At 38.7% G+C, this 24,092-nt stretch overlaps 1 protein-coding gene and 1 long non-coding RNA gene across 23 annotated transcripts in view; one reads left to right on the top strand and one right to left on the bottom strand.

Moving 5' to 3' along the window:
- The window catches only part of TMEM87A (transmembrane protein 87A), a 63,138-nt gene extending 41,163 nt beyond the window's left edge, over window positions 1-21,975 (top strand). For 6 of the 21 annotated variants that reach the window (NM_001286487.2, NM_001438990.1, NM_001438988.1 and 3 more), the window contains 9 exons: window positions 1,162-1,230; window positions 3,602-3,710; window positions 4,653-4,711; window positions 5,513-5,616; window positions 12,287-12,360; window positions 12,780-12,841; window positions 14,044-14,099; window positions 14,589-14,619; window positions 20,673-21,890. In NM_001286487.2, coding sequence (NP_001273416.1) covers window positions 1,162-1,230; window positions 3,602-3,710; window positions 4,653-4,711; window positions 5,513-5,616; window positions 12,287-12,360; window positions 12,780-12,841; window positions 14,044-14,099; window positions 14,589-14,619; window positions 20,673-20,714 — 606 coding nt within the window. In that variant the 3' untranslated portion in view covers window positions 20,715-21,890. Of the gene's footprint in view, window positions 1-506; window positions 579-1,161; window positions 1,231-3,601; window positions 3,711-4,652; window positions 4,712-5,512; window positions 5,617-12,286; window positions 12,361-12,779; window positions 12,842-14,043; window positions 14,100-14,588; window positions 14,620-20,672 lie in introns of those variants that run through there. The other 15 variants (NM_001438992.1, NM_001438982.1, NM_001438994.1 and 12 more) reach the window with 12 other exon arrangements.
- VPS39-DT (VPS39 divergent transcript) lies at window positions 1,230-24,021 on the bottom strand. 2 transcript variants are annotated; one of them, XR_932181.3, is made up of 3 exons: window positions 23,738-24,021; window positions 23,505-23,658; window positions 1,230-1,300 (listed from the first exon to the last, which is right to left on the bottom strand). It is a non-coding gene; the product is annotated as a VPS39 divergent transcript (long non-coding RNA). The 2 variants fall into 2 exon arrangements; XR_932179.3 differs by lacking the exon at window positions 1,230-1,300 and adding an exon at window positions 7,935-8,014.
- Window positions 24,022-24,092: the final 71 nt, after the last annotated feature.

Here is a 24,092-nt window from a genome sequence, read left to right as displayed (position 1 = left end):
GCCAGGGAAGGAAACCAAAGAATCTAAGTGATAAAGAAATTTATGGCTGGGAGCAGTGGTGGGTGCCTGTAGTCCTGGCTACTTGGGAGGCTGAGGTGGAAGGACTGATTGAGTTCAGGCTGCGGTGAGCCATGATCATGCCATTACACTCCAGCAACAGAGTGATACCTCTTCCTTAAAAAAGAGGAGAAAAGAAATTTATGTTACCACTGGATTAATACGAAGAAGTATAAGGTTCTCTAGGCCATTTCAATTAATTTTCTTATTTTTTAAAAAAAGACTCCACAGCAACCTATTAGATTCAATATTGTAAAAACTATAAACTTGGCTTTGCCCACAAGAAAACGGCTCAATATGTTTTGCAATAAATTGCCTCTTAAATCAAACACTTTGTGGATGCACATTTGCTTTTCAAATCACACTGTCCTCTGTATGTAATTCTCTTAGACTTCTAGCAACTTTAACCCTCTGTCAATTTCATTTTCTTTCTTCTGCTGTTGCTATAGTATTTTTCTTATCCCTTGACTCTGATAGTAAACCTGGCCCTCTCAGCAATTGACGCCTGTGTTATTTTATGGATATCCTTTCAGTAATGCCTGTTGATTGGGTAATTAGGGTTATATAAAAAACATACTCTATATAAACTCCTGGAAACATGCAGCATAGTTTTTCAGACAGATAATTGCCTTACATTTTATTTTGGGGTGAGCTCTTATTTGTAAAATATTATAATTTTAGAAATTAATAATTCTTTGTATATGATGCAGTAATTTTTTTTAAATACGAGAAAAGTCTTTTCAGACTTGTAGCCAAAATTGCAATAATAGGAAATGATAGATTAAGGATGGGGCTTATAAACATTAGAACTTTTTTGGAATATGGTCACTTGTTAACATGGATCTTTATATATGAAAAACTCGTACTTAGCAGTATGTTTCGAGATTGTAAATGACAATTTATGTGAAATGCTTATAGCTGTATATTCTATGTGATGGTTTATAAGAAGGGAAGAATGATTAGGTGTCAAATGTTCTTTTTATTTTCTTTCAGTTCAATGCAAAAACTTTCCAGTGATTATGTAAATGCAGAATCATGTGGTGGTTTCTTCTCTGTGCCTCTCTAGACATCTGTTTTTCACCACTTCTTTTTCTTTGTCTGCAGGCCCAGACTGATCTTGCTTCCTTGGCCTTTATCCCCTTGGCTTTCCTAGACACTGCCTTGTGCTGGTGGATATCCTTCTCATTGGCTTGTTTGATGATGGTCCATTTTCTCCCCTTGAGATGGGTTTCCATTGATCTTTCTGCAAAGAGTTTTTATCAGTTTTGTTAATTACTCCTTAGTGTGGGGAACAGTGCATGCTAAGTCTTAACAACCTGAGGGTTCAGGTAAGCAGTTTTTTTTGTTTCTATTTTTTTAATTTTAAAAATCAAATTGGAAATTGGTGACTGTGGACCGAGCTCGAGATAAAATCTTTTGGCTTTTTTCTTTTAAGTGAGCATTTCATCTTGATTTTGCACTTCTTGTTTGTGTACCTAATCATTTAGTGTTAGAGTCACTGGCTGTGCTGGTCCTGCTCTGCCTTTTAGCCTCTAGCAATTCTTAAATGCTTTGAAACTTATGAAAAGATTTTGATCCTTAAAATTTGATTTCAGGAACTATGTAAGGTGCTTTGACTTTTCTGAAACTCTGTATGTTCAGCAGGTTTTAACCCTTATGGAGTGAGTGTTTTCTTGCCTCATTCAAAAGCTGGCTTGGAATTGTTTGAAGATTTCCACCCTTCAGAATAAATAATTGATTCATTTACAGGCAGAGTCAACCAGCAGATAACAAACAAGCTTCTATTTGAGCAATCTTTTTCTCCTGCTCTTTAAAATTAAATTTATATATTAGGGGCTTGGCCTGATGGCTAAAGGATTCAAGTTTTTGGACTTTATCTTATTGAATTTGTTTTGGTTTTTATATATTTGGTCCTATTAGCAGTTTTCATTATTACTGACCTGATAGATTGTGACTGTTGAAAAACTGTGAATGTAAACAAAATTGTTTTGTGAATTTGAGTGGGTTGCTGTATAAGAGTTTTCAGTTAAAGTGTCCTTGGACTAAATAGCCAAAGCTTTTCTAGATTAGTATCTTTCTAAGTGTTTTGTGAACCTCTGCAAGCGTTGAGAGAAGAGGGAGGTGGGAATGGATTGTACAGTAAGATAACCCAATGACTAGGTAACAGCTACGGCTCTGTAAGGGCAGAGCAAGTGCCAAATCCCTTATTTTTGTATCTGCTTCTCATTCTGAAAATTGAGCCGGGTGCAGTGGCTCATGCCTGTAACCCCAGCACTTTGGGAGGCTGAGATGGGCAGATTGCTTTAAGCTCAGGAGTTTGAGACCAGCCTGGGCAACATGGCGAAGCCCTATCTCTACAAAAAATACAAAAATTCATCAGGCATTGTGGCTTGCACCTGTAGTCCCAGCTGCTCGGGAGCCTGAGGCAGGAGAATTGCTTGAGCCCTGGAAGCGGAGGTTGCAGTGAGCCGAGATCGCACCGCTGCACTCCAGCCTGAGTGACAGAGTGAGACCCTGTCTCAAAAAGAAAAGAACATTGAACGTGAGAGCAGATACCATTTTTAGTAGTCACCAATTCCCCTCCTGTTTTTCTCTGGCAACTTCTACTTGAGAATAATGTTCTGAAAATGGAGAGTCATTGCTTTTGGAAGCAAACCATATGAGCTTCTCAACCAATTGTAAGGTCCTCTTAATTCAGGATAGTGCAGGCAACTGATGGCAGGTTCCTTAAGATGGCATGAGGGGACTGAGTGTAGATCTCTGGGAGATTATAGGCACGAGTATAATTATGACCCTCAACTAGATTTGCTGGACAGATGAGAACAGAGCTACCCACCTTAAAGGGAGAGAGAAGATGATGTTAACTCTTTGTCCCTTGCCTGTTACTCATGTTCACTTTATCTTCTGCCATTTCTCTATTTATTTTCTGTCTTTTTTTTTTGTTTCTCTAGAAAGCCTCTTCCTTTCTCTTTTTTATATTTTTTCTCTTGTGATTTTGTACATTCTTACTTTATTCTGGTTCTGTCTTCTCTTTAATGTCTCATTGAAAATGATGACTTCCGGCCAGGTATGGTGGCTCGTGCCTGTAATGCCAGCACTTTGGGAGGCCAAGGCAGGAGGATCAGTTGAGGTCAGGAGTTTAAGACCAGCCTGAGCAACATAGCGAGACCTTATCTCTACAAAAAAATTTAAAAATTAGCCAGGCATGGTGGCACATGCCTGTAGTCCCAGCTGCTTGGGAGGCTGAGGTGGGAGGATCGCTTGAGCTTCAGTGGTCAAGGCTGCAGTGAGCCGTGATTGTGCCACTGCACTCTAGCCTGGGCTAGACCTTGCCTCACAAAAAAAAAAGGAAAAGAAAATAAAATGATGACTTTCTTATTCATCTTGAGGTGTTTGTGAGATTAAGTGAGAATAAGAGAGCTATAAGGCCTCTGAGAGATCTATAAGTTTATTGGCATGACCCCAGATCCTTAAAGAAACCTGAAAACTAATTGGCTAGCTTACTGTTTTTTCCTGAATGTTGAATTCCTTGACCTGCAAACACATATTTATTAGCCTGACTCAAACAATGAAGCTATTAAAACTTCGGAGGAACATTGTAAAACTCTCTTTGTATCGGCATTTCACCAACACGCTTATTTTGGCAGTGGCAGGTAAGTCTGGGACTTTCTTCTTGGAGTTCAAATGTGATCTGTTTAGAATGGACATTCTTAACCTGAAAGGCCATGGGTGGACATAGAAAGTTTTGTATATTTCACTTGGAAAAGGGTTCTTAGCTCTTGTCAAATTCTCAGAAGGATCTGTGGTTTTTAAAAAGTTGAGAACCATTTATTTTATGTACAGTAGCTGGAAATCAACCTCATATTTCAGCTCTTCATTTATCCCTCTTCTATTTGCATTCTTTCTTGAGGCATTCTTTTTCTTGAGGTTAGTTAGCTTAAGTGCCAGAGAGTACTCCTTTTAGAAGACATTACCACATGTTTGTTTAGTTTTATTAAATAGTTGTAGAATTTTAGGGTGCATTGCTATTATAGTGGTTTTACATATGTCAGCAAGCATATGTAAAAAATTGACATTAGGTGGACTGTAACCAAACTAGGCTAATTTGCCTACCTCCTGACCCTTGTACCAGGAATAGTGAGGTCTGATTTATGATTGGAACTAGCTCTTCTGTTTGTGTTACAGTCGTTTTATCAGCCATTTTTTTTCATCTGACCAGCCAAAGAAAAATTAGCATTACTATACTAAGGATAAAAGGAGAAAAAAATTATATTGATAATGCTGGAAAGAGCTATATTTCCAATACCTTATTTTCCAACCACACTGGTTACTGATGTAGCCAGATGGCAAATAACATTATTACCAAATTATTCTTTAAATAGAGAAAGGATTGGCCAGAGTATGTATCATGAGCCTTGCTGATAGCAGGTATACAGTCCTTTTGTATTGAATACATTTGTTAAAATAACTGATAGAGTTGTGATGTATTTGGGGGTTCGGGGTGTGTGGGATTCCACTTAACCGGAAATGGGGGAATGTAATTGGGGATGTAAACCAGCATTCATACTCTGACCTGGTTTTTCATTTACTGTTAGCATCCATTGTGTTTATCATCTGGACAACCATGAAGTTCAGAATAGTGACATGTCAGTCGGTGAGTTATAAGCACATTTATGAATAATGTACTGTCTTATAAACAACTGATGGTGTTGATGACAGTGGTAAGGTTCTTCTAAGTTATATACCTTATAAAAAATTAGAGCTAGGTCTCTACTCTGAGGGTTGTGATACTTCCCTCCTCCTAAGTATTCTGTACTATCATGGTGCTTGGTATAGTAGTTTTTTGTTTGTTTTTTCTGACTGTATTCTCCCAGTTTTGGGAGAGAATTTTGTAAGTTATAACTACAGTGTGCTATAACCCAGTCTTATTTTAACTAAAAATCTTAAGAAGTCCAGAGTACTAAATATTAAGTACCATATGTGTAAATAATACTAATCTGAATAGAAGCCACATCCTTAAGATCTGAGCTCAACGACTGTGACAGTAGGATTTCTTCAGAAGCAGCTAAGGCTCTTATTTTGTTCAATAAATAATGAAAATGAAAATTATAAAGTATACCAACCTAATGTAACTTTCTCTTACACTGTATAAGGTAACTTTCTCTTAACCCTGTATAAAACCCTTTCTTAAAGCTTCTCAGAGGGATGATGAAGCTTTGACAAATACTCTGTTCCGTTGATGCATTTTCTTTAACAACAGTAAGCACTACAAGGGCAAAAACTACATTCATTCACTTTGTTTCCCCACACTTACCACAGTACTGAGCACGTAGCAGGCTCTTAGTAAACATAACTTGAATGAACAAATAAGTGATTTTTGTTCTATGCCAAAGGCTTTATGAACAAGGGGTTAAGATAATGTGTATAAATGTTGTACTTCTCCCCTGTATTGTAGGACTGGCGGGAGCTGTGGGTAGACGATGCCATCTGGCGCTTGCTGTTCTCCATGATCCTCTTTGTCATCATGGTTCTCTGGCGACCATCTGCAAACAACCAGAGGTTCTTGGACTCTTCTGTTTACTCTGCTAACATGAGATGACCATGTCATCAATTAGGGGTGGTGCATTGGGGGACAGTATCAGGGCTGTGTCATATAGTGGAAGGAACACTGGGCCTGGAATCAGAAGAACTGGGTTCCTATCTCAGCTCTCCTCTTAACTTCATGATTTTTGGCATGCAGCCTCTCCACCTCTCTGGCCTTAGTTTCCTTTCTATATACTGAGGGGGAATTAAACCCAGCAACATGAAGTTCCTTTCAGCTCTGACATTTTGTGATAAATACACAGGCATACTATGGAAATAAATTGCAAGTTTGGTTTCAGACCATCACGATAAAGCAGATATTGAGTTACATACATATTTTGTTTTTTCCAGTGCATATCAAAGTTATGTTTACACTATTCTGTAGTCTACTATGTGTGCAATAGCATTATGTCTAAAAAATATATGCACGTTAATTTAAAAACACTTTATTGCCAAAAAAAAAAAAAAAATACCGACACAGGGGCTGGGCGTGGTGGCTCACGCCTGTAATTCCAGCACTTTGGGAGGCCAAGGCAGTTGGATCACCTGAGGTCAGGAGTTCGAGACCAGCCTGACCACCGTGGCGGAACCCCGTCTCTACTAAAAATACAAAAATTAACTGAGTGTGGAGGTGGATGCCTGTAATCCCAGCTACTTGGGCAACTGAGGCAGGAGAATCGCTTGAACCTGGGAGGCAGAGGTTGCACTGAGCCGAGATCATGCCACTGCACAGCATAGGTGACAGAGCGAGACTCCCTCTCAAAAAAAAAATGCTGACACACAAAGTGAGCACATTACTGTTGGAAAATGGCACCAATAGACTTCCTTGACATAGGGTTGCTGCAAAATCTGGGAAGCACAGTAAAATGAAGCACCATAAAACCAAGTATAACTGTAAGTATTTGTATAGTAAACAAGGGAGATAGATATATAATCTATTGTGTCAACCAGGCACGGTGGCTCATGCCTGTAATCCCAGCACTTTGGGAGGCCAAGGTGGGCAGATCACATGAATCCAGGAGTTTGAGCCAACATGGTTTCGGCCAACATGGCAAAACCCCACCTCTACTAAAAATACAAAAATTAACCGAGCATGGCAGTGCACACCTCTAATCCCAGCTACTCGGGAGGCTGAGGCACAAGAATCGCTTGAACCCGGAGACAGAGGTTGCAGTGAGGCGAGATGGCGCCACTGCACTCCATCCTGGGTGACAGAGTGAGACTGTCTCAAAGAAAACAGAAGATATAATTGTATCACTTACACTGAGTCTCTCCTGTCTAGTGTCTAGAAGGAAAGAAAATTTCTGTAACCAGCAGCCCAGCTCACTTTGTAATGATAGAAAGGGTAAAATTAAAACTTACATAACCAACTTTGAAATTAAAAATGTATGTGTAAATCTGATTTGTCCAACTATAGGCAAATTTCAGTCATTTAGGAACTGCCTAGCTTTATTTTGTGATTATGCCTTCCCCCCCCCCCCATTTGCATTTAGACGGTTAAGAGCTTATATTAAACACCCATACCACCAAAGAAGGAAAAGGGTAGCATGATATAAATGACTAATTTTATAACCAGACCCAATGAAAGATTGAAATAGAAAATAGGTGAAATCCTTTTACTCCATGAAAATGGCCTTGCTGTCATTTCAAACTATGCACTTTATATGTGTTTATCAAAAAAAGTCAGAATAGAGAAAAGTAATGAAAGAAAATAAAGGAGATCTGAAATCACACTATTGAGAAAGAACTTTTACATTCTGGAGACCCTTCTTTTATATCCGTCTGTTGATCTACTGGTTACTCACTAGCTATATTTGTATTTAAATATTTTCCCTTCCTCAGTCATTAAAAAATTTTTGCGTTACCTTCCCTCTTCTTTTTTTCCCCCTTTTCTTTTAAAACATTGCCCCCTTTCTCTGTGACTTCAGTGTTAACTGCATATTATAATGTGTCTTTTCCCTGTTCATGTATGGAATCTTACATTACTCTTGTGACAGTACATTGTGGAGATTCCTTCCAGTGTAACAGGTTTAACTGAACTCATTCATTTTCATGGATAGCATAAATATGGGACATGTGTAGTACAGTTAAATTAACATATTCTCTTATTAATGGGCATTTGGGATATTTCCAGTTTGAGGTGTGTCAGGGTCCTCAAGACCATCCTGATGTTCAGTGATTTACTAGAAGGCCTCATGGGATGCAGCGTACAGTTATACTCACAGTTAAGGTGTATTACAACAAAATGGTGATAGCAGGTAGAGTCTGGGGAAATCTGTATTTTCTTTCCTGGTGTTCGGTCTCTCTTCTGAGGAAGTACATCAAGTCAGTTCTTTTCCCCAGCAACAAAAATGTAGTAACACATTGTTTCTGTCTGGGAAAGCCCATTAATGTTCAGCACTCAAGATTTTTATTGGGCAGTGTTACCTCCTCCCAGCCAAATATGTGACAGTATGCACAGACTATTGCCAATGTGGGAAACCCATTTGAGCTTTCAATGTCCAGAGTTTTTACTGGGGCTCAATCACATACTGTCTCTGTTGCTGACTTTTAGTTTCCAACCCCTCCTGGCAGTCATGCTAATACCATTTCCTCTGGAGGTCAGAGCTGATATGGCATGGCCCAAAGCCCCTATCATAAACCATACTGTTACACTGTCAGCCAAAGTCCCCAGGCAAATAAAGACAGGACATGTTATGGGTGTCGGGATCACCTCACATTAGTCAATGAAGGTTAGGTTCTCACTACACACTGGCACATGCTCAAGAAATATTTAATGAGTGGGCTTGGATTTGCTAGGTTGAAGGATATGTGTAGATTGTAATTTTTAAAGTATTTCCAGATTACGTTCCCAAAAAAAACCTGAAAGAAATTGCATATTTAACAACAATGGTATGAGAGAGGTTTTTTCTTCTTCCCTTGTTTTATGTCCCATCATTTTATTTAATTTCTGCAGATTTGGTGGATGAGAATTAATATTGTTACTTTTTGCATTTAAGGTTGGATCTTTAGCTTATTTTTTATTGGCTTATTGATCATTGTCTCTGTCCATTTTCAGCTGCTATAACAAACTACCACAGACTGTTTGTTTATAATGAACAGAAATTTGTTGGCTCGCAGTGTCAGCATCTGGTGAGGGCCTTCTTACTGGGTCGTCACATGACAGAAGGTGGAAGGGCAAAAGGGAGAGCCCACTCCAGAAAACCCTTTATGTAACAGCATTAATTCATTCATGAGGGTGGAGCCCTCATGACCTAAATGCCTTCCATTAGGCCCAACTCCCAACACTGTCACCCTGGGAATTAGGTTTCAACATGAGTTTTGGAGGGGACAGACATTCAGACTGTAACAATCACTTATGTATTGATTCGTAGGAATTTATTTATTTTGAGATGGGGTCTCGCTCTGAAGCCAAGGCTGGAGTGTAGTGGAGCAACCTTGGCCCACTACAACCTCCACCTCCTGGGCTCAAATGATCCTCCCACCTCAGCCTCCTGAGTAGCTGGGACCACCGGTGTGCACCACCACACTGGGCTAATCTTTGTATTTTTTGTAGAGATGGGGTTTTGCCATGTTGCCCAGGCTTGTTATAAACTCCTGAGCTCAAGCGATCTGCCTGCCTTGGCCTCCCAAAACGCTGGGATTACAGGCGTGAGCCACCATACCAGGCCCAATTTGTAGGAATTTCTGATATATTTTGTATGCCAATATTTTGTTTGTTCTAAGTATTGCATATATTTTCTGCCAGTTAATAATCTTATGATTTTTATGCTGTTTTTAATCATACAAAATCTCAGAAATATGGAGTAGTTTTTCCCTTCAAGGATTGTACATTTTGCATCTTATTTTGACAAATTCTTATCTAGCCTAAGGTGATTTCAAAAAATTATTCTCTAATGACTTTTTAAAAATTTCACAATCAGGCCGGGCGCTATGGCTCATGCCTGTAATCCCAGCACTTTGGGAGGCTGAGGCGGGTGGACAACCTGAGGTCAGGAGTTCGAGACCAGCCGGACCAACATGATGAAACCTCATCTCTACTAAAAATAACAACAATTAGCCAGGCGTGGTGGCAGGCGCCTGTCATCCCAGCTACTTGGGAGGCTGAGACAGCAGAATTGCTTGAACCCGGGAGGCGGAGGTTGCAGCGAGCTGAGATCATGCCGTTGCACTCCAGCCTGGGCAACAAGAGAGAAACTCTGTCTCAAAAAAAAAAAAAATCACAATCAAGATGTTCATCCACCAAGAATTACTTGATTCTAGGCTCTCTACTCTCTTCTGTTCTGCTCCTGCATCAGTAGCACACTGTCTGAATTACCCTAGGCTTCTGATAAACTGTGGTATCTGGAGGGCCTGAACCCCTAATCATATTTATAAGTGCAGGCTCAGCTGCATACTACCTGGCTCTTTTAAAAATAGCCTTTGGGCCAGGCACCGTGGTTCATGCCTATAATCCCAGCACTTTGGGAGGCTGAAGCGGACAGATCACCTGAGGTCAGGAGTTCGAGACCAGTTTGACCAACTAGAAAAACCCCGTCTCTACTAAAAATACCAAATTAGTTGGGCATGATGGCACATGCCTGTAATCCCAGCTATTTGGGAGACTGAGGCAGGAGTGCTTGAACCCCAGGAGGGGGAGGTTGCTGTGAGCTGAGATCGCGCCATTGCACTCCAGTCTGGACAACGAGTGAAACTCTTTCTCAAAAAAAACAACCAAAAAAACATTTGGCCAGGCGTGATGGCTCACACCTGTCATTCCAGCACTTTGGGAGGTCTGGCCGGGAGGATTGCTTGAGCCCAGGAGTTTGAGACCAGCCCTGGCAATATAGCAAGATCCCATTTCTACAAAAAAAATTGTTTTAGGTTAGCTGGGCATGGTAGTGCATGCCTGTAATCCCAGCTACTTGGGAGGCTGAGGTGGGAGGATCACTTGAACCTGGGATGTCGAGGCTGCAGTGAGCCGTGGTCATACCACTGCACTGCAGCCTGGACAACAGAGCAAGACCCTGTCTCAAAAAAATTTTTTAAAAGCCTTTGGTGTTGAATTTTTGCCCTTTATTTTTAAAATTTTTTTATTTTAGATGGGGTCTTGCTATGTTGCCTAGGCTAGACTCAAACTTCTGGGCTCAAGGGATCCTCCTACCTCAGCCTCCTCAGTAGCTGAGACTACTGGTACATGTCACTACACCCAGCTTTTGTTTTTTAATAAAAATTTTAGATTGCTTAATTCTAGGAAAACCTATTAAGATTTTGATTGGAACTTAATTGAATTAATAAATTAGGGAGATTATATATATATTTTTGATAATTCCTTGAGTATGGCATCTCTCCATTTTTTAGTCTTTGAATTACGTTTTGTAACTTCTGATTTAAATTTGTGACTCTTACGAATGCAACTTTTAAAAATATATACAGCTTTTCCAAATATGTAGGAATGCTGTTGCCTTTTCCTCTGTCTCTCTCTCTCTCTGTCTCTCTCTCTCTGTCTCTCTCTCTCTCTCTCTCTCTCTGTCTCTGTCTCTCCTTTCTTTTCTTGACGGAGTCTCGCTGTGTCGCCCAGGCTGGAGTGCAGTGGTGCAATCTTGGCTCACTGCAACTTCTGTTCCCCGGGGTCAAGGGATTCTCATCAGTTGATGGACAAAGTTGTTTTCGGCCAGGCGCGGTGGCTCACACCTTTAATCCCAGCACTTTGGGAGGCCGTGGCGGGCGGCTGAGGCAGGCGGATCACCTGAGGCTGTCTCAGCCTCCCAAGTAGCTGGAATTACAGGCGTGCACCTCCACGCCCAGCTAATTTTTGTATTTTTAATAAAAAAATGCAAAAAATTGGCCAGGCATCGTGGCGGGCGCCTGTACTCCCAGCTATTCGGGAAGCTGAGGCAGGAGAATGGTGTGAACCCGGGAGGCGGAGCTTGCAGTGAGGTGAGATCATGCCACTGCACTCCAGCCTGGGCGACAGAGCGAGACTCCGTCTCAAAAAATAAATAAATAAATAAATAATAAAACAAATAAATAAAAGCTAAAGCATTCTAGGAATTACATGTCTGGGAGCTGCTTTGCTGAATCTCTTGGAAGTTGTTAAGGAAAGGCATCTGAGATATACCAGATCAGACCTTCATCTTCTGAGCTTCCCACTTGTAAACTGAAATTAAATTACCTGGAATAGGCCTCCCTTCTCTTAACTCCCAATTTGAAGGCTGCGATTTTAAATTAGATGAGAATTTACTTAACTCTATTTGATACATATCCTTATGAATGAACATTTGTTGACTGTCTACTGAATGTGACAGGTATTGTTCTAAGCACTTTATTTGTAACGACTTACTTTTACAAAACACCCCTATGAGTAATGTTCTATTGTCCCCTTATTTACAGTTGAGGAAACTGGGTACAGAGAGATTAAGTAACTAGTCTGATGTCACAGGTAGTATTCAGCTGAGCCTGCACTCATAAATATGATACTGTCCTGCTTCTCCCTTGCTAATATAGGCAATAAAGAGCTTTCTGAAGGGGAAGAAATATTATTATTAAACTGATTTAATGAATTACTATAATTGCAGTTTCAATAATTAGTTTTGTAAAATGCAACTGGTATAGCAGTTTTTGAAGTTTTCTAATTTTTTCCTTCTGTTCACTTTGGTTCTGTTAGGTTTGCCTTTTCACCATTGTCTGAGGAAGAGGAGGAGGATGAACAAAAGGAGCCTATGCTGAAAGAAAGCTTTGGTAATAATAAAATTCACCTCTTATTAGTACTTTAAATATTATTTTTCTGTAAGTACATTGTTTATTATTTTATAACTGTGTTGTTCCTATATTTGGTGTGGGATGAAGTCAGGGTTAAGAAAATAAGGGTGTGAATCTTAAGATGAAGGCATGGTAAATTCAGTAAGTAATTGCACATTAAGTATCCATTTTACTTGCTAGAAGTGAGCTAAAAATTTTGCTTTGAACTTCCCAGCTTACATATAAAGATGGAGAAGCATCTGTTGTATACTTCACAAGTATTAGGAAGCTTAAAATAAAACTATGATAAGTAACTTTGGGGCTTTTAATTTAAAAAAAGAAAAAGTTCTGAATCCGTTTTGCCAACATTGTTGGTCTGTTCACAAAGTTAAACAGTGTATATTTATTTTCTTCTACAGAAGGAATGAAAATGAGAAGTACCAAACAAGAACCCAATGGAAATAGTAAAGTTAACAAAGCAGTAAGTATGACTTTTCCATTTGTCTTTGTTCTTTGTCCCATCTTCCAACCCTTAGTAGAACTACTAGAAGAAAACAGGAGGAAAATTCTGTGACATTGGTCTTGGCAATGATTTTTTTTTGTATATGACCCCAAAAGCACAGGGAACAAAGCAAAAATAGAGAAGTGAGAGTACATCAAACTATAAAGCTTCTGCCCAGCAAAGGAAACAATTAACGAAGTGAAAAGACAACCTACAGAGTGGGAGAAAACATTTGCAAACATTGCATCTGTTAAGGGGTTAATACCCAATTTATATAAGGAACTCAGTAGCAAGAAAACGAATAGCCCAGTTTAAAAATGGGCAATGGACCTGAATATACATTTCTTAACATAACACCTACAAATGGCCAACAAGTATATGAAAAAATTTTTATCATTACTAATCCTCAGGGAAATGCAAATGAAAACCACAGTGAGATAACACCTCACACCTGTTTGAATGGCATTTATCAAAATGAAGAAATAACAAGTGTTGGCAAGGACATGGAAAAAAGGGAACCCTTGTACTCTGTTGATAGGAATGTGAGTTAGTATAGCCATTATGGAAAATAGTATGGAGCTTCCTCAAAATTAAAAATAGAACTACCTTATGATCCAGGATTCATGTCACTGGGTATATACCTAAAGGAAATGAAATCAGTATGTTAAAGAGATACTTGCACTGTCATGTTCATTGCAGCATTAATCACAGTAGCCAAGATACAGAATCAACCTGCATGTCCATCAGTAGATGAATGGATAAGGAAAATGTGTATTTTGATATACAATGGAATACTATTTAGATTCAGAAGAGAAGGAAATCTTGTCATTCGCAACAGCGTGAAGAAGCCTGGAAGATACTATGTTAAGCAAAATAAGCCAGGCACAGAAAGACAAATACCACATGATCTCACTTACGTCGAATCTAAAAAAGTTGAATTCCTAGAAGCAGAGGGTTGAGTGCTGGTTACCAGGGGCTATGGGAGAACTGGGGAGATGTTGGTCAAAGGGATTTTTAAAAATGTTTTTAAAAATTAAAATATTTGACTTTTCTGTCAGCAGTCCCATTTGTGAATGTATGACTACAGAATTATGAAAGACAAGTTTTAAGACCTTCATGTCCTTACTTGAGATGTATTATGTGGTGCATTTTAGTAATGAGTGGTATTTGTATGTTCCCAGCAGGAAGATGATTTGAAGTGGGTAGAAGAGAATGTTCCTTCTTCTGTGACAGATGTGTAAGTTTTTGAATGATTACCACAAGAATCCTATTTCAAAGTTAGTACTACTTTGTTATTATTTTAAATGAGCAAGTTATACTCATGAAAATACAAGATACTGAAAAATAATTAAAAGAATAGGAATAATCCGCAAACAAAATTAATTGGGTTTATTCATTCAGATGACATTTCTGCTTAGAAAGATTTAGCTATGTAGTATATCTTAAAATGAATGGGATACTCCTTTTGAAATTTTTAGTTCCTTTCCAGGGCTATAATTTTAATGAAACATTGGTCCTGTTGCATTGCAAAATACGTTTTTTTTCTATACAATTTCTGTAACTGTTGCTTATTGTATTTGCTGTTTATTTTTCCTAAAAGGGCCATTAATAAAATGCAAATCTTAGATAATTATAAAGCTTTTAATTGCATTATTCCATTGTCTTTTATGAACCATTTATGGCTTTATTTTACATTGTTCAATTTAGTATTTCTCTCTCTTTGCAGAGCACTTCCAGCCCTTCTGGATTCAGATGAGGTTGGTACTCAATTCACGTGCATAAATTATGTATATGGTGACTAAATAGAAAGTCATGAATCGTCTGTTCATGGAGATTCTCTTTATTTGACTCAGTAGTGGCCTGAAAACTATAGTTTATATAGTTGAAAAGGATAAGAATAGAAATACTAATAGAGTTCAAACATTCAAGAATCTTCCTTTCTTTGCATCTGTCTATACATGTTTCACCTTTCAAAGTTATATGGTCAGACTTCAGAATGTTTTTGTTTAAATTGGGTAGTAAATACAGTACTCTCCACCATCTAGTTCTTTTGTCTGTAAGAAATGCAAATTTAACTCTAATCTAATATTGGCAAAAATAATAAGGAAAAATATTGAGAAAGGAATATAGTAGACCAAAACAAAATCTAAATTGTTACCTACTATTTAATAATATTTTTGTCACTACCTTCTTCAGATAGTAAGGATTATAATTAGTACCTCTAATATTTATGTTTTTAATCTTTTAGTTTGCCTCCATACAGTTAATCTAGAAGGCTTCACATGAAGTCTTATGTTAGGATTGTGGGCCAGGTATAGTGGCTCATGCCTGTAATCCCAGCACTTTGGGAGGCCTAGGCAGGAGGATCAGTTGAGGTCAGGAGCTTGAGACCAGCCTGGGCAACGTGGTGAAACCCCATCTCTACAAAACATACAAAAATTAGCCGGAGATGGTGGCATACACCTGTAGTCTCAGCTACTTGGGAGGTGAAGTGGGAGGATCACTTGAGCCCTGGAGGCAGAGGTTGCAGTGAGCTGAGATTACGCCACTCCAGCCTGGGCAAAAGAGTGAGACCCCATCTCAAAAAAAAAAAAAAAAGAAAAGAAAAAGAATTGTGGCCTGAGTTCATGGAAACTAGTTCTGGATATGTTCTGAATATTAGGTCATTTTAGAGTTTTTGTTTGTTTGTTTTTGTTTTGTTTTTTTTCAGGAAGCCTTTTGGAAGCATTTTGTCTGATTCTGATTCATTGTGTTGAATTGGCTGCTAAAAATGTTTTGTTCATTTCCCACTGACATGATCTTTGACACAGCATGTACAGTATCAAATTCCTTAGCTGTTCTATGTGTTGAAATAATTGAGAACTCTACCATTCAGATTTGAACCTATCTACATAACACTTTGCTTTCTGTGGTATATTCTGCTGTTCCCACATCTCCCTCTTGAGGTCTTCCTCTGCTAATTATTTGCCTTTAAGGCTTCCCTTGTACTTCAGCTCTCCATGAGCTGCTATAAGCAGAGAAGGCTGATTAATTGAAACCTGATTGTGCCCTTCATGGGAATGCAAGTTTGCTATAGTAATTTGGTGGCACTGAGTTCAGCCATCTGTTCATATTTTCCTCTGTGAAAACACTGTGCAAGATTTTCCAGGTATACATAAGGCTTTTTTGTGGTAAGAAAACATAACAATGAGATCTACTCTCTTAACTCCTTTAGTGTACGTTACAGTATTATTACGTATAAGCACAATGTTGTACAGCAGATCTCTAGAACATTTTCATCTCATTTAAATGAAATTTTATACCTGTTGAATAGCAACTCTTGCTTTCCCCCTCCCTCAGCGCCTGGCATCCATCATTCTATTTCTGCCTTTGAGTTCTATTTTAGATAACTCATATAAGTGGAATCATGCAGCATTTGTCCCCCTGTGGCTTGCTTATTTCACTTAGCATAATGTCTTCAAGATTTATCTAAGTTGTAGCACATGTCAGAATTTCCTTCCTTTTTAAGGTTGACAAGTGTTCCATTGTATATATGTAACATGTTATCTTCATCCATTTATCTGTCAGTGGACACGGGTTATTTCCATACCTTGGCTGTTGTGAATAATGTTGCAGTGAACATGGGAGTGCACATTTCTCTTTGAGATCCTGCTTCATTTCTTTTAGGTATATATGCAGAAGTGGGATTACTGGATTATATGGTAGTTATTTTTTAATTTTTTTGAGGAGCTTTCATACTGTTTTCCATAGTGATTGCACCATTTTACATTTCCACCAGCAATGCACAGGGGTTCCAATTTCTTTCTTTGCCCACATTTGTTATTTTTTGTTTTTTGATAATGACCATCCTAACAGGTGTGACGTGACACCTTGTGGTTTTGGTTTGTATTTCTCTGATGATTAGTGATGATGAGCATTTTTTTTATATACCTGTCAGCCATTTGGAAGCCCTCTTTTGAGAAATGTCTCTTCCAGTCCCTGGCCCAGTTTTTAATCAAGTTAGTTGATTTTTTGCTGTTGAATTGTAGGGGTTTCTTATATATTTTGGATATTAACCCTGATCAGATACAGTCCTATGCCACATTTCAGTCAGCAACGGACCACATATATGACAGTGGTCCCATAAGAACCTCCGGGTTCACGCCATTCTCCTGCCTCAGCCTCCCAAGTAGCTGGGACTACAGGCGCCCGCCACCACGCCCGGCAAATTTTTTGCATTTTTTTAGTAGAGACGGGGTTTCACCGTGTTAGCCAGGATGGTCTCGGTCTCCTGACCTTGTGATCCACCCACCTCAGCCTCCCAAAATGCTGGGATTACAGGCGTGAGCCACCGCACCTGGCCAATACTGAATTTTTACTGTACCTTTTCAATGTTTAGATAACTTTAGATACCCAAATACTTACCATTGTATTCCAGTTGCCTTTGGTATTCAGTACAGTAACATGCTGTACAGGTTTTTAGCCTAGAGCAATAGGCTTATACATATAGCCGAGGTATGTAGTAGGCTATATAACATCTAGATTTGTGTAAGTATATTCTGTGAAGTTCACACAGCTATGAAATTGCCTAATGATGCAGTTCTCAGAATGTATCCCTATCATTAAGTATACGTGACTGTATGTAGTATGCAAATATTTTCTCCAATTCTGTAGGTTGCTTTTCATTCTGTTGTGTGCTTCCCTTGCTGTGCAGAAGCTTTTTAGTTTGATGTAGTCCCATTGGTCTGTTTTGCTCTTGTTTTGTGCTTTTGGTGTCTTAGACAAGAAATCACTGCTAAGACCAATTTCAAGAAACTTAGGTTGTCTTCTAGGAGTTTTGTGGTTTCAAATCTTATGTCTAATTCTTTAATCTATTTTGACTTGTCTAAGTCTTTAATCTATTTTGAGTTGATTTTTGTGTATAGTGAAGATGAGTTACTTTCATTCTTTCTCATGTGAATATCTAGTTTTTCCAGCACCATTTGTTGAGGAAACTGTCAGTTTCCCCACTGTGTAGTGTTGTCTCTCTTTTCGAAGATCAGTTGACCATGTATGTGTAGTTTTATTTCTGGGCTTTCTATTTTGTTCCACTTGGTCATAGTATGTGATTCTTTCAACGTGCCGTTAAATTCTGTTTTCCATTGTTTCATTGAAGATTTTTGCGTCTGCTCATCAGGGATATTGGCCTGTCGTTTCTCTTCTTGTCATGTCTTTGGCTTTGGCATTAGGGTAATGCTGGCCTCATAGAATAAGTTTGGAAGTTCCTTCCAAATAAATGTTTTCGTCTTTAATTTTTTTGAAAGCGTTTAAGAAGGATTAGTGTTACTTTGTCTTTAAGTACCTGGTAGGACTCAACTAAAGAAGCCATCTGGTCCTGGGCTGTTTTTTTGTTGGGATGTTTTTGATTACTGATGGAATCTTGTTGTAGGTCTTACCAGGTTGTGTGTTCCCCCCCCGGATTTTCTATTCCTTGATGATTCAGTCTTGGTAGATTGTATACTTCTAGGAATTATATATTTTGTTCTAGGTTATCCAGTTTCTTGGCATATTTTTAAAAATGTTTTGTATATTTTTATTGAAATTCTTACTTTGTTCATGCATTGTTCTCCTGAGTTCGTTGAACATCTTCATGATAGTTGTTTTGCATTCTCTTTCAAATAATTCCTATACCTCTGTTTCACTGGGGTTGGTTTCCAGAGATTTATCTTCTTCCTTTGTTTGGGCCATGTTTCACTGATTCTCTATTTTCCTTAATTCTTTGTGTTGGTTTCATTGCATTAGAAAAAAAAACAGTTACCTTTCCAGTGTTCATGGACTGGCATTGTACAGGAGAACACCCTCATCAATCATTCTGATAGCCTCTCTAACCCACTCTGTATTATGTCTTTTCTGGACTTCTGCATATGTATTCCCAATCAGAGGGATTTGCTGGGTTTTTCCCTCCCCAGGAATTTATAATCTCTTGCTCCCTTTTGTGTTTATCTGCTGTATCATGGGTCTCCTGGAGCCAGTGGCATAGCCCAGCTCTTTTTTTGTTCATACTGGCCCCAGGCACCTAAAATATACTGGTCCCATCTGTGCTTCAAACCATTCCCTACAGAAACCATTCCCTCAGGTAACCTCTTACAAAGTTGGAACATTTTCACAGTCCATCTCTCCTCCCTAGGGAAAAGCTAGGATTTGGGGATGTTGGGGATTCTACCTGCTTACTCTGCACTGAGCTGGGGGAGCGGCTGTAGTGAGCTCATGCTTGCTAGTCCAAACTTCCACTTTGATTTCAGCAACTTCCAACCTGGGCCCTTTGTTTTTAGCTCTCGGACTCAGGCAAGACAGAAAACAGTCTCTCGTGCAGGTTCCAGAAAAGTCAGAATGTTGGATGTACATTCCAGTCATTTCCTTCCCTCTGCAAAAAGAAGCTGGGAGCTGAGGGTTTCCTCTCTATCATGTGGTACTGTGCTGGGTCCATGGGAAGGGAAGAATTATGGCAAGAGGGTGCCTCAGGTTTTTCTGCCGACTTTGATTCAGCTGGTTTCATGCTTTCCTATAGTGCAGAAGACCCTCAACTGGTTTCTGGATTTCCCACAAAGGGAATTTTTCCATGTGTTATTGAATCAGTGTGTCTGTAGAGGGAAGGAGTGTCCAGGGCTTCCTATTCTGTCATCTTGCTGACATCACTTTCTCCAAGGCCTTTTTTTCCCTTAAAACTGAAAAAGACCTTAAATGAATTACAGGAGAAACAATTTACATGATGGACCAGGAATCAAAATGGCATAAGGCTCTTCAACAACATCTTTGGGAGCCAGAACAAAGCCTTTGAATTCTGAGGAAAATCATTTTCAACCTAGAATTCTGTACTCAACTAAACTATCATTATGAGGGTAAAATAAAGATGTTTCTAGTCACACAAGAAGTAAAATAATTGATGTTCTATATGCAGTTTCTGAAGAAAGTAGGGGAAAATGTTCTCCACAAAAATGAGGAAGCTAGGAAAAAGACTTGGGATCTAGGAAATAAAGGGTCCAACACAGAGACAAGAAAAATTCCCAGTATGATGTAAGAAATTCTCAGGTTGGCAGCTGGGCACCAGGCTTGGATGGAGTGGAGAACAGAGAGCATCGGAAAGGATATTTTTAAGAAAAAGGGAAACATCTATAGATTATCTGATGTGATTGATTATATTCAAAAAGGATTTGTAGTTCTGTCAGTTTGTGATACAATAGTGAGAGGTACTTCGCAAATGAAGCAAAAGAAAAATGAAAATTAACTCTAAGGTATAAAATTGCCTAAGAAGGGAAATTTAAGGGTAGTACATTAATTATTTTAATTGAAATGGGATACTGTAAATACTATATTAAATTAAATGTAATTTTATTTTTTACATGATTTTTAAAAAGTGTAGTAAAAAACACATAACAAATCAACCCTCCTAACCATTCTAAAGTGCAAAGTGCTAACTAGGTGCACGTCTTTGCCCTCATCCTTCACTGGGTCTTCAAGTGAAATTCCTGAATTAGAGGAGTTACACATTTTTATTAAAGCCTAATCTTATGTAAATATTTGTTTACATAAGATCTTAGCTGACTCTATACATTTCCTTCTGAGTGCTGATTTTCTGTCCAGAAGCCTAGAGCTTTTGATTTAGTTGTTCTTGGGTGAGGTCTGGACATCTGTATGTTCAAAATCTTCACAAATGTTTAGGAACCATTTCTCTAAACATTTAATTAACATAAAGTACTCGTGGAAGATGTTTGCTTGGATAGTCTGTATAGAAGATATTTGGAATATAGATCATTTTAACCTAATATACTTCAACCTTTTTTTTTTTCCCTAGGAACGAATGATCACACACTTTGAAAGGTCCAAAATGGAGTAAGGAATGGGAAGATTTGCAGTTAAAGATGGCTACCATCAGGGAAGAGATCAGCATCTGTGTCAGTCTTCTGTACGGCTCCATGGGATTAAAGGAAGCAATGACATCCTGATCTGTTCCTTGATCTTTGGGCATTGGAGTTGGCGAGAGGTGTCAGAACAAAGAGAACATCTTACTGAAAACAAGTTCATAAGATGAGAAAAATCTACGAGCTTCTTATTTACAACACTGCTGCCCCCTTTCCTCCCAGACTCTGACATGGATGTTCATGCAACTTAAGTGTGTTGTTCCTGAACTTTCTGTAATGTTTCATTTTTTAAATCTGACAAACTAAAAAGTTTAACGTCTTCTAAAAGATTGTCATCAACACCATAATATGTAATCTCCAGGAGCAACTGCCTGTAATTTTTATTTATTTAGGGAGTTACATAGGTGATGGGGGAAATTGTTAACTACCTTTCATTTTCCTGGGAAGTCAAGGTTACATCTTGCAGAGGTTGTTTTGAGAAAAAAGGGCCCTTCTGAGTTAAGGAGCCATAGTTCTATCAATGATCAAAAGAAAAAAAAAAAAAGAGAAACTGTTACAGTATGATTCAGATCATTTAAAAAAGCAAAATCAAGTGCAATTTTGTTTACAAATGGTGTATATTAAAGATTTTTCTATTTCAGATGTACTTTAAAGAGAAATATTAGCTTAACTCTTTTGACATCTGCTATTGTGACACATCCCATTGCTGGCAATGTGGTGCACACTCCGAAACTTTTAACTACTGTTTTGTAAGCCTCCAAGGGTGGCATTGCAGGGTCCTTAGGCAATGTTTTGTTTGCCTTTATGCAGAGAGGTGCTCCAAGTGCTGTGATTGAGCACCGTGCTAGAGGAACTGTAATGCTTCAGAAGTTGTAGCTTATACAAAGGAAACAGGTCCTGCTGGCTTAATTTAAACAGTTATTGCATGAAGTAGCGTGGAGGCCCTGGACTGCTGCTCGTTCTTTAGGATGGACTGTTCTGGTATCTGGTATTGGTTTAGAGACTGTTAATAAGGGACATCACAAGGTGATGGGATTCATTTGAAGCACTCTATTTCTGTTTTAATGGTTTTATCCAATTTTGCCTTCCCAAGATTTTTGTTCTACATAAAAAGTTCATGCCACTTTTTAATATAAAAAAATTTAACAAAATTAATGTATTTTTCTCATTTTTTTCAAACTTTTTCTAAAGACTCTTTCTGTCAAACTCATGAAAAATTTCTTTCTATGGCTTTTATTCTAGATTGTCTTATTTTCTGTTAAAACCAATGACCACATGACCACAATCTTCACTAACTCATACTGCAGTGAAAGTGTTAACCCTTAGGTAGTTTCTCTACAACTCTTTGCTATGGTGATTTTTAAAAAAGTTTCCTAGGAAGTATCTCTGAGGAACAGCAATCTGAAGAACTGACTATATTCTCATGCTAAGTCATTAGCCAAAAGCTGGTGGTATTGTTGCATGCTGCTATTGCATATTAAAACGTAGCAGATGAATAATAGTTGTAATGCAGCAGGATAGTTGGTCAAATTATTTTTTTAGGCTGCTTTGATGTTGACTTGAGACTAGGAAAAAAAAAAGCCCATTGTGTTAAGCGGGAGTGTATAGTTCAAGTTCTATAGCCTGGGCCCTGATAATTCTACTTACAGCTTTCTGTATTACTGGGAATAGATATAGTGTGTCATTTCTTAGGTTCAGAAGAAATTGATAGCTTTGCAGTAATCTGTAAAACAATATAAACCTTAGGGTTTTGGGCCTGAACGAAAAGGTACTAGACCTTCCAGCACAACAGCTGGTAATTCTAAATTTTTAAGAAGGTGATCAGCTTCTATGGTGAAAATCAGCTATAACACAGGATTTGTGTAGCAATTTTCATGTTTTTGACTACTTGAAAGTACTTTTCACTTGATTATCAGAACAGCATTTGGTAAAGATGGGACAAGTATTCCTAATTTACATATGAAGAAACTGATATTGTGTAAAAATAAAATGACCAGGACCAGTTTTTTTGACTTCATATCACAGACTTACCCTTTTTCTTTTACATTTTTGCTTTAAACCCAAATGCTTAATTTTTTGACCTACGATGTTTTCCTAGGGGGAAATGACCAGATATAGATCATTCTTGCAGCCCAAACTTTGTTGTTTTTTAAGTCTTCAAGGGGAATACTAAGGTAACCGCAGACAGTACAGGTCCCAGGTCCTATAGGAGGAAAAGCCATGACACCTTCCTAAAGGAATATTAGGATGTAAGACACAGCTTTGGAAAGTTGAATTGGTAGGAATGTGGTCATCAAATTAAAAGGAGGCTTATTTCACTGACTTCCAAGAGTTAGTGAATCATCTCTTGCCTAAACTCTTGCTACTCAAAATGTGATCCAGGGACCAGCAACATCTGGGAGATTTTTGGTGCTCAACTGAGGGTCTTACTCTGGTCCTACTGAATCAAAAGAGGCATTTTAACAATGTCTCTAGGTGATTTGTATGCACGTTAAATTTGAAAAGCATTGGCCTCAAATGGTGGTTCTCAGGGTAATTTTGCCTCCCAGAGGACATACGGAAAAGAGACATTTTTATACCTCTGTGGGGAAGATAACTGGCATTTGGTGGGTGGAAGTTAGGGATGCTGTTAAACATCTTACATTGTACAGAACATGCCCCCTCCCCCAACAAGAAATTATCCTGTCCTAAATGCCGGTAGTGCTATCGCTGAACAACCCTAACCTAAAATGGTGGTTCTCAAGCTTTTAAGTGCATGGACTCACCTTGGGGTTTATTAAAACATAGGTTGCTGTTCCCTTCGAGTTTCAGATTCAGTAGAACTGGAATGGGCCTGAAACTTTGCATTTCTAACAAGTTCACAGGTGCTGCTGCTACTGCTGTTGTTGCTGGTCTAGAACCACTTTCAGAACCACTGGCCTAGAACAACCATGAAAGCATTAAGGTAAGGTGCTTGTACTAATTGGGATATAATGGTAATACTAAAGCTACCACTTACTGAGAGCTTAGTGGGTGTCAGGTGTTGCTAAGCGCTCACGACACTAGGTCACAGGTATTTACAAAAATTTTGCAGATTAGGAAAGTATGGCATCGAAATATTAAATTTTCTAAATCACAGCTAATTTCCTAATTGGTAGATCTCCGTCTGAGGTCGACGCCAAAGGCCGAGTTTTTAACCATCACGCCCACTGCCTAAAGCAGTTCTAAGATTAAGAGTTTGTTCCTTCTATGGTAAGCCCATGGCTACTCGGGATGGAGTAGCTATGGGTCCAGAGTGACGATGGCAACTCAGCAACAAAACAATTCATTTAGAGTGCACCGGGAGGAAGGGGCGGGACTTCGGCTGCGGAAGA

Source organism: Homo sapiens, chromosome 15, assembly GCF_000001405.40.
Source record: "Homo sapiens chromosome 15, GRCh38.p14 Primary Assembly".
NCBI classification, from domain to species: Eukaryota; Metazoa; Chordata; class Mammalia; order Primates; family Hominidae; genus Homo; species Homo sapiens.
The sequence above is the reverse complement of the archived record's forward strand: the minus strand, read 5'-3'. Positions and strand labels throughout refer to the sequence as shown.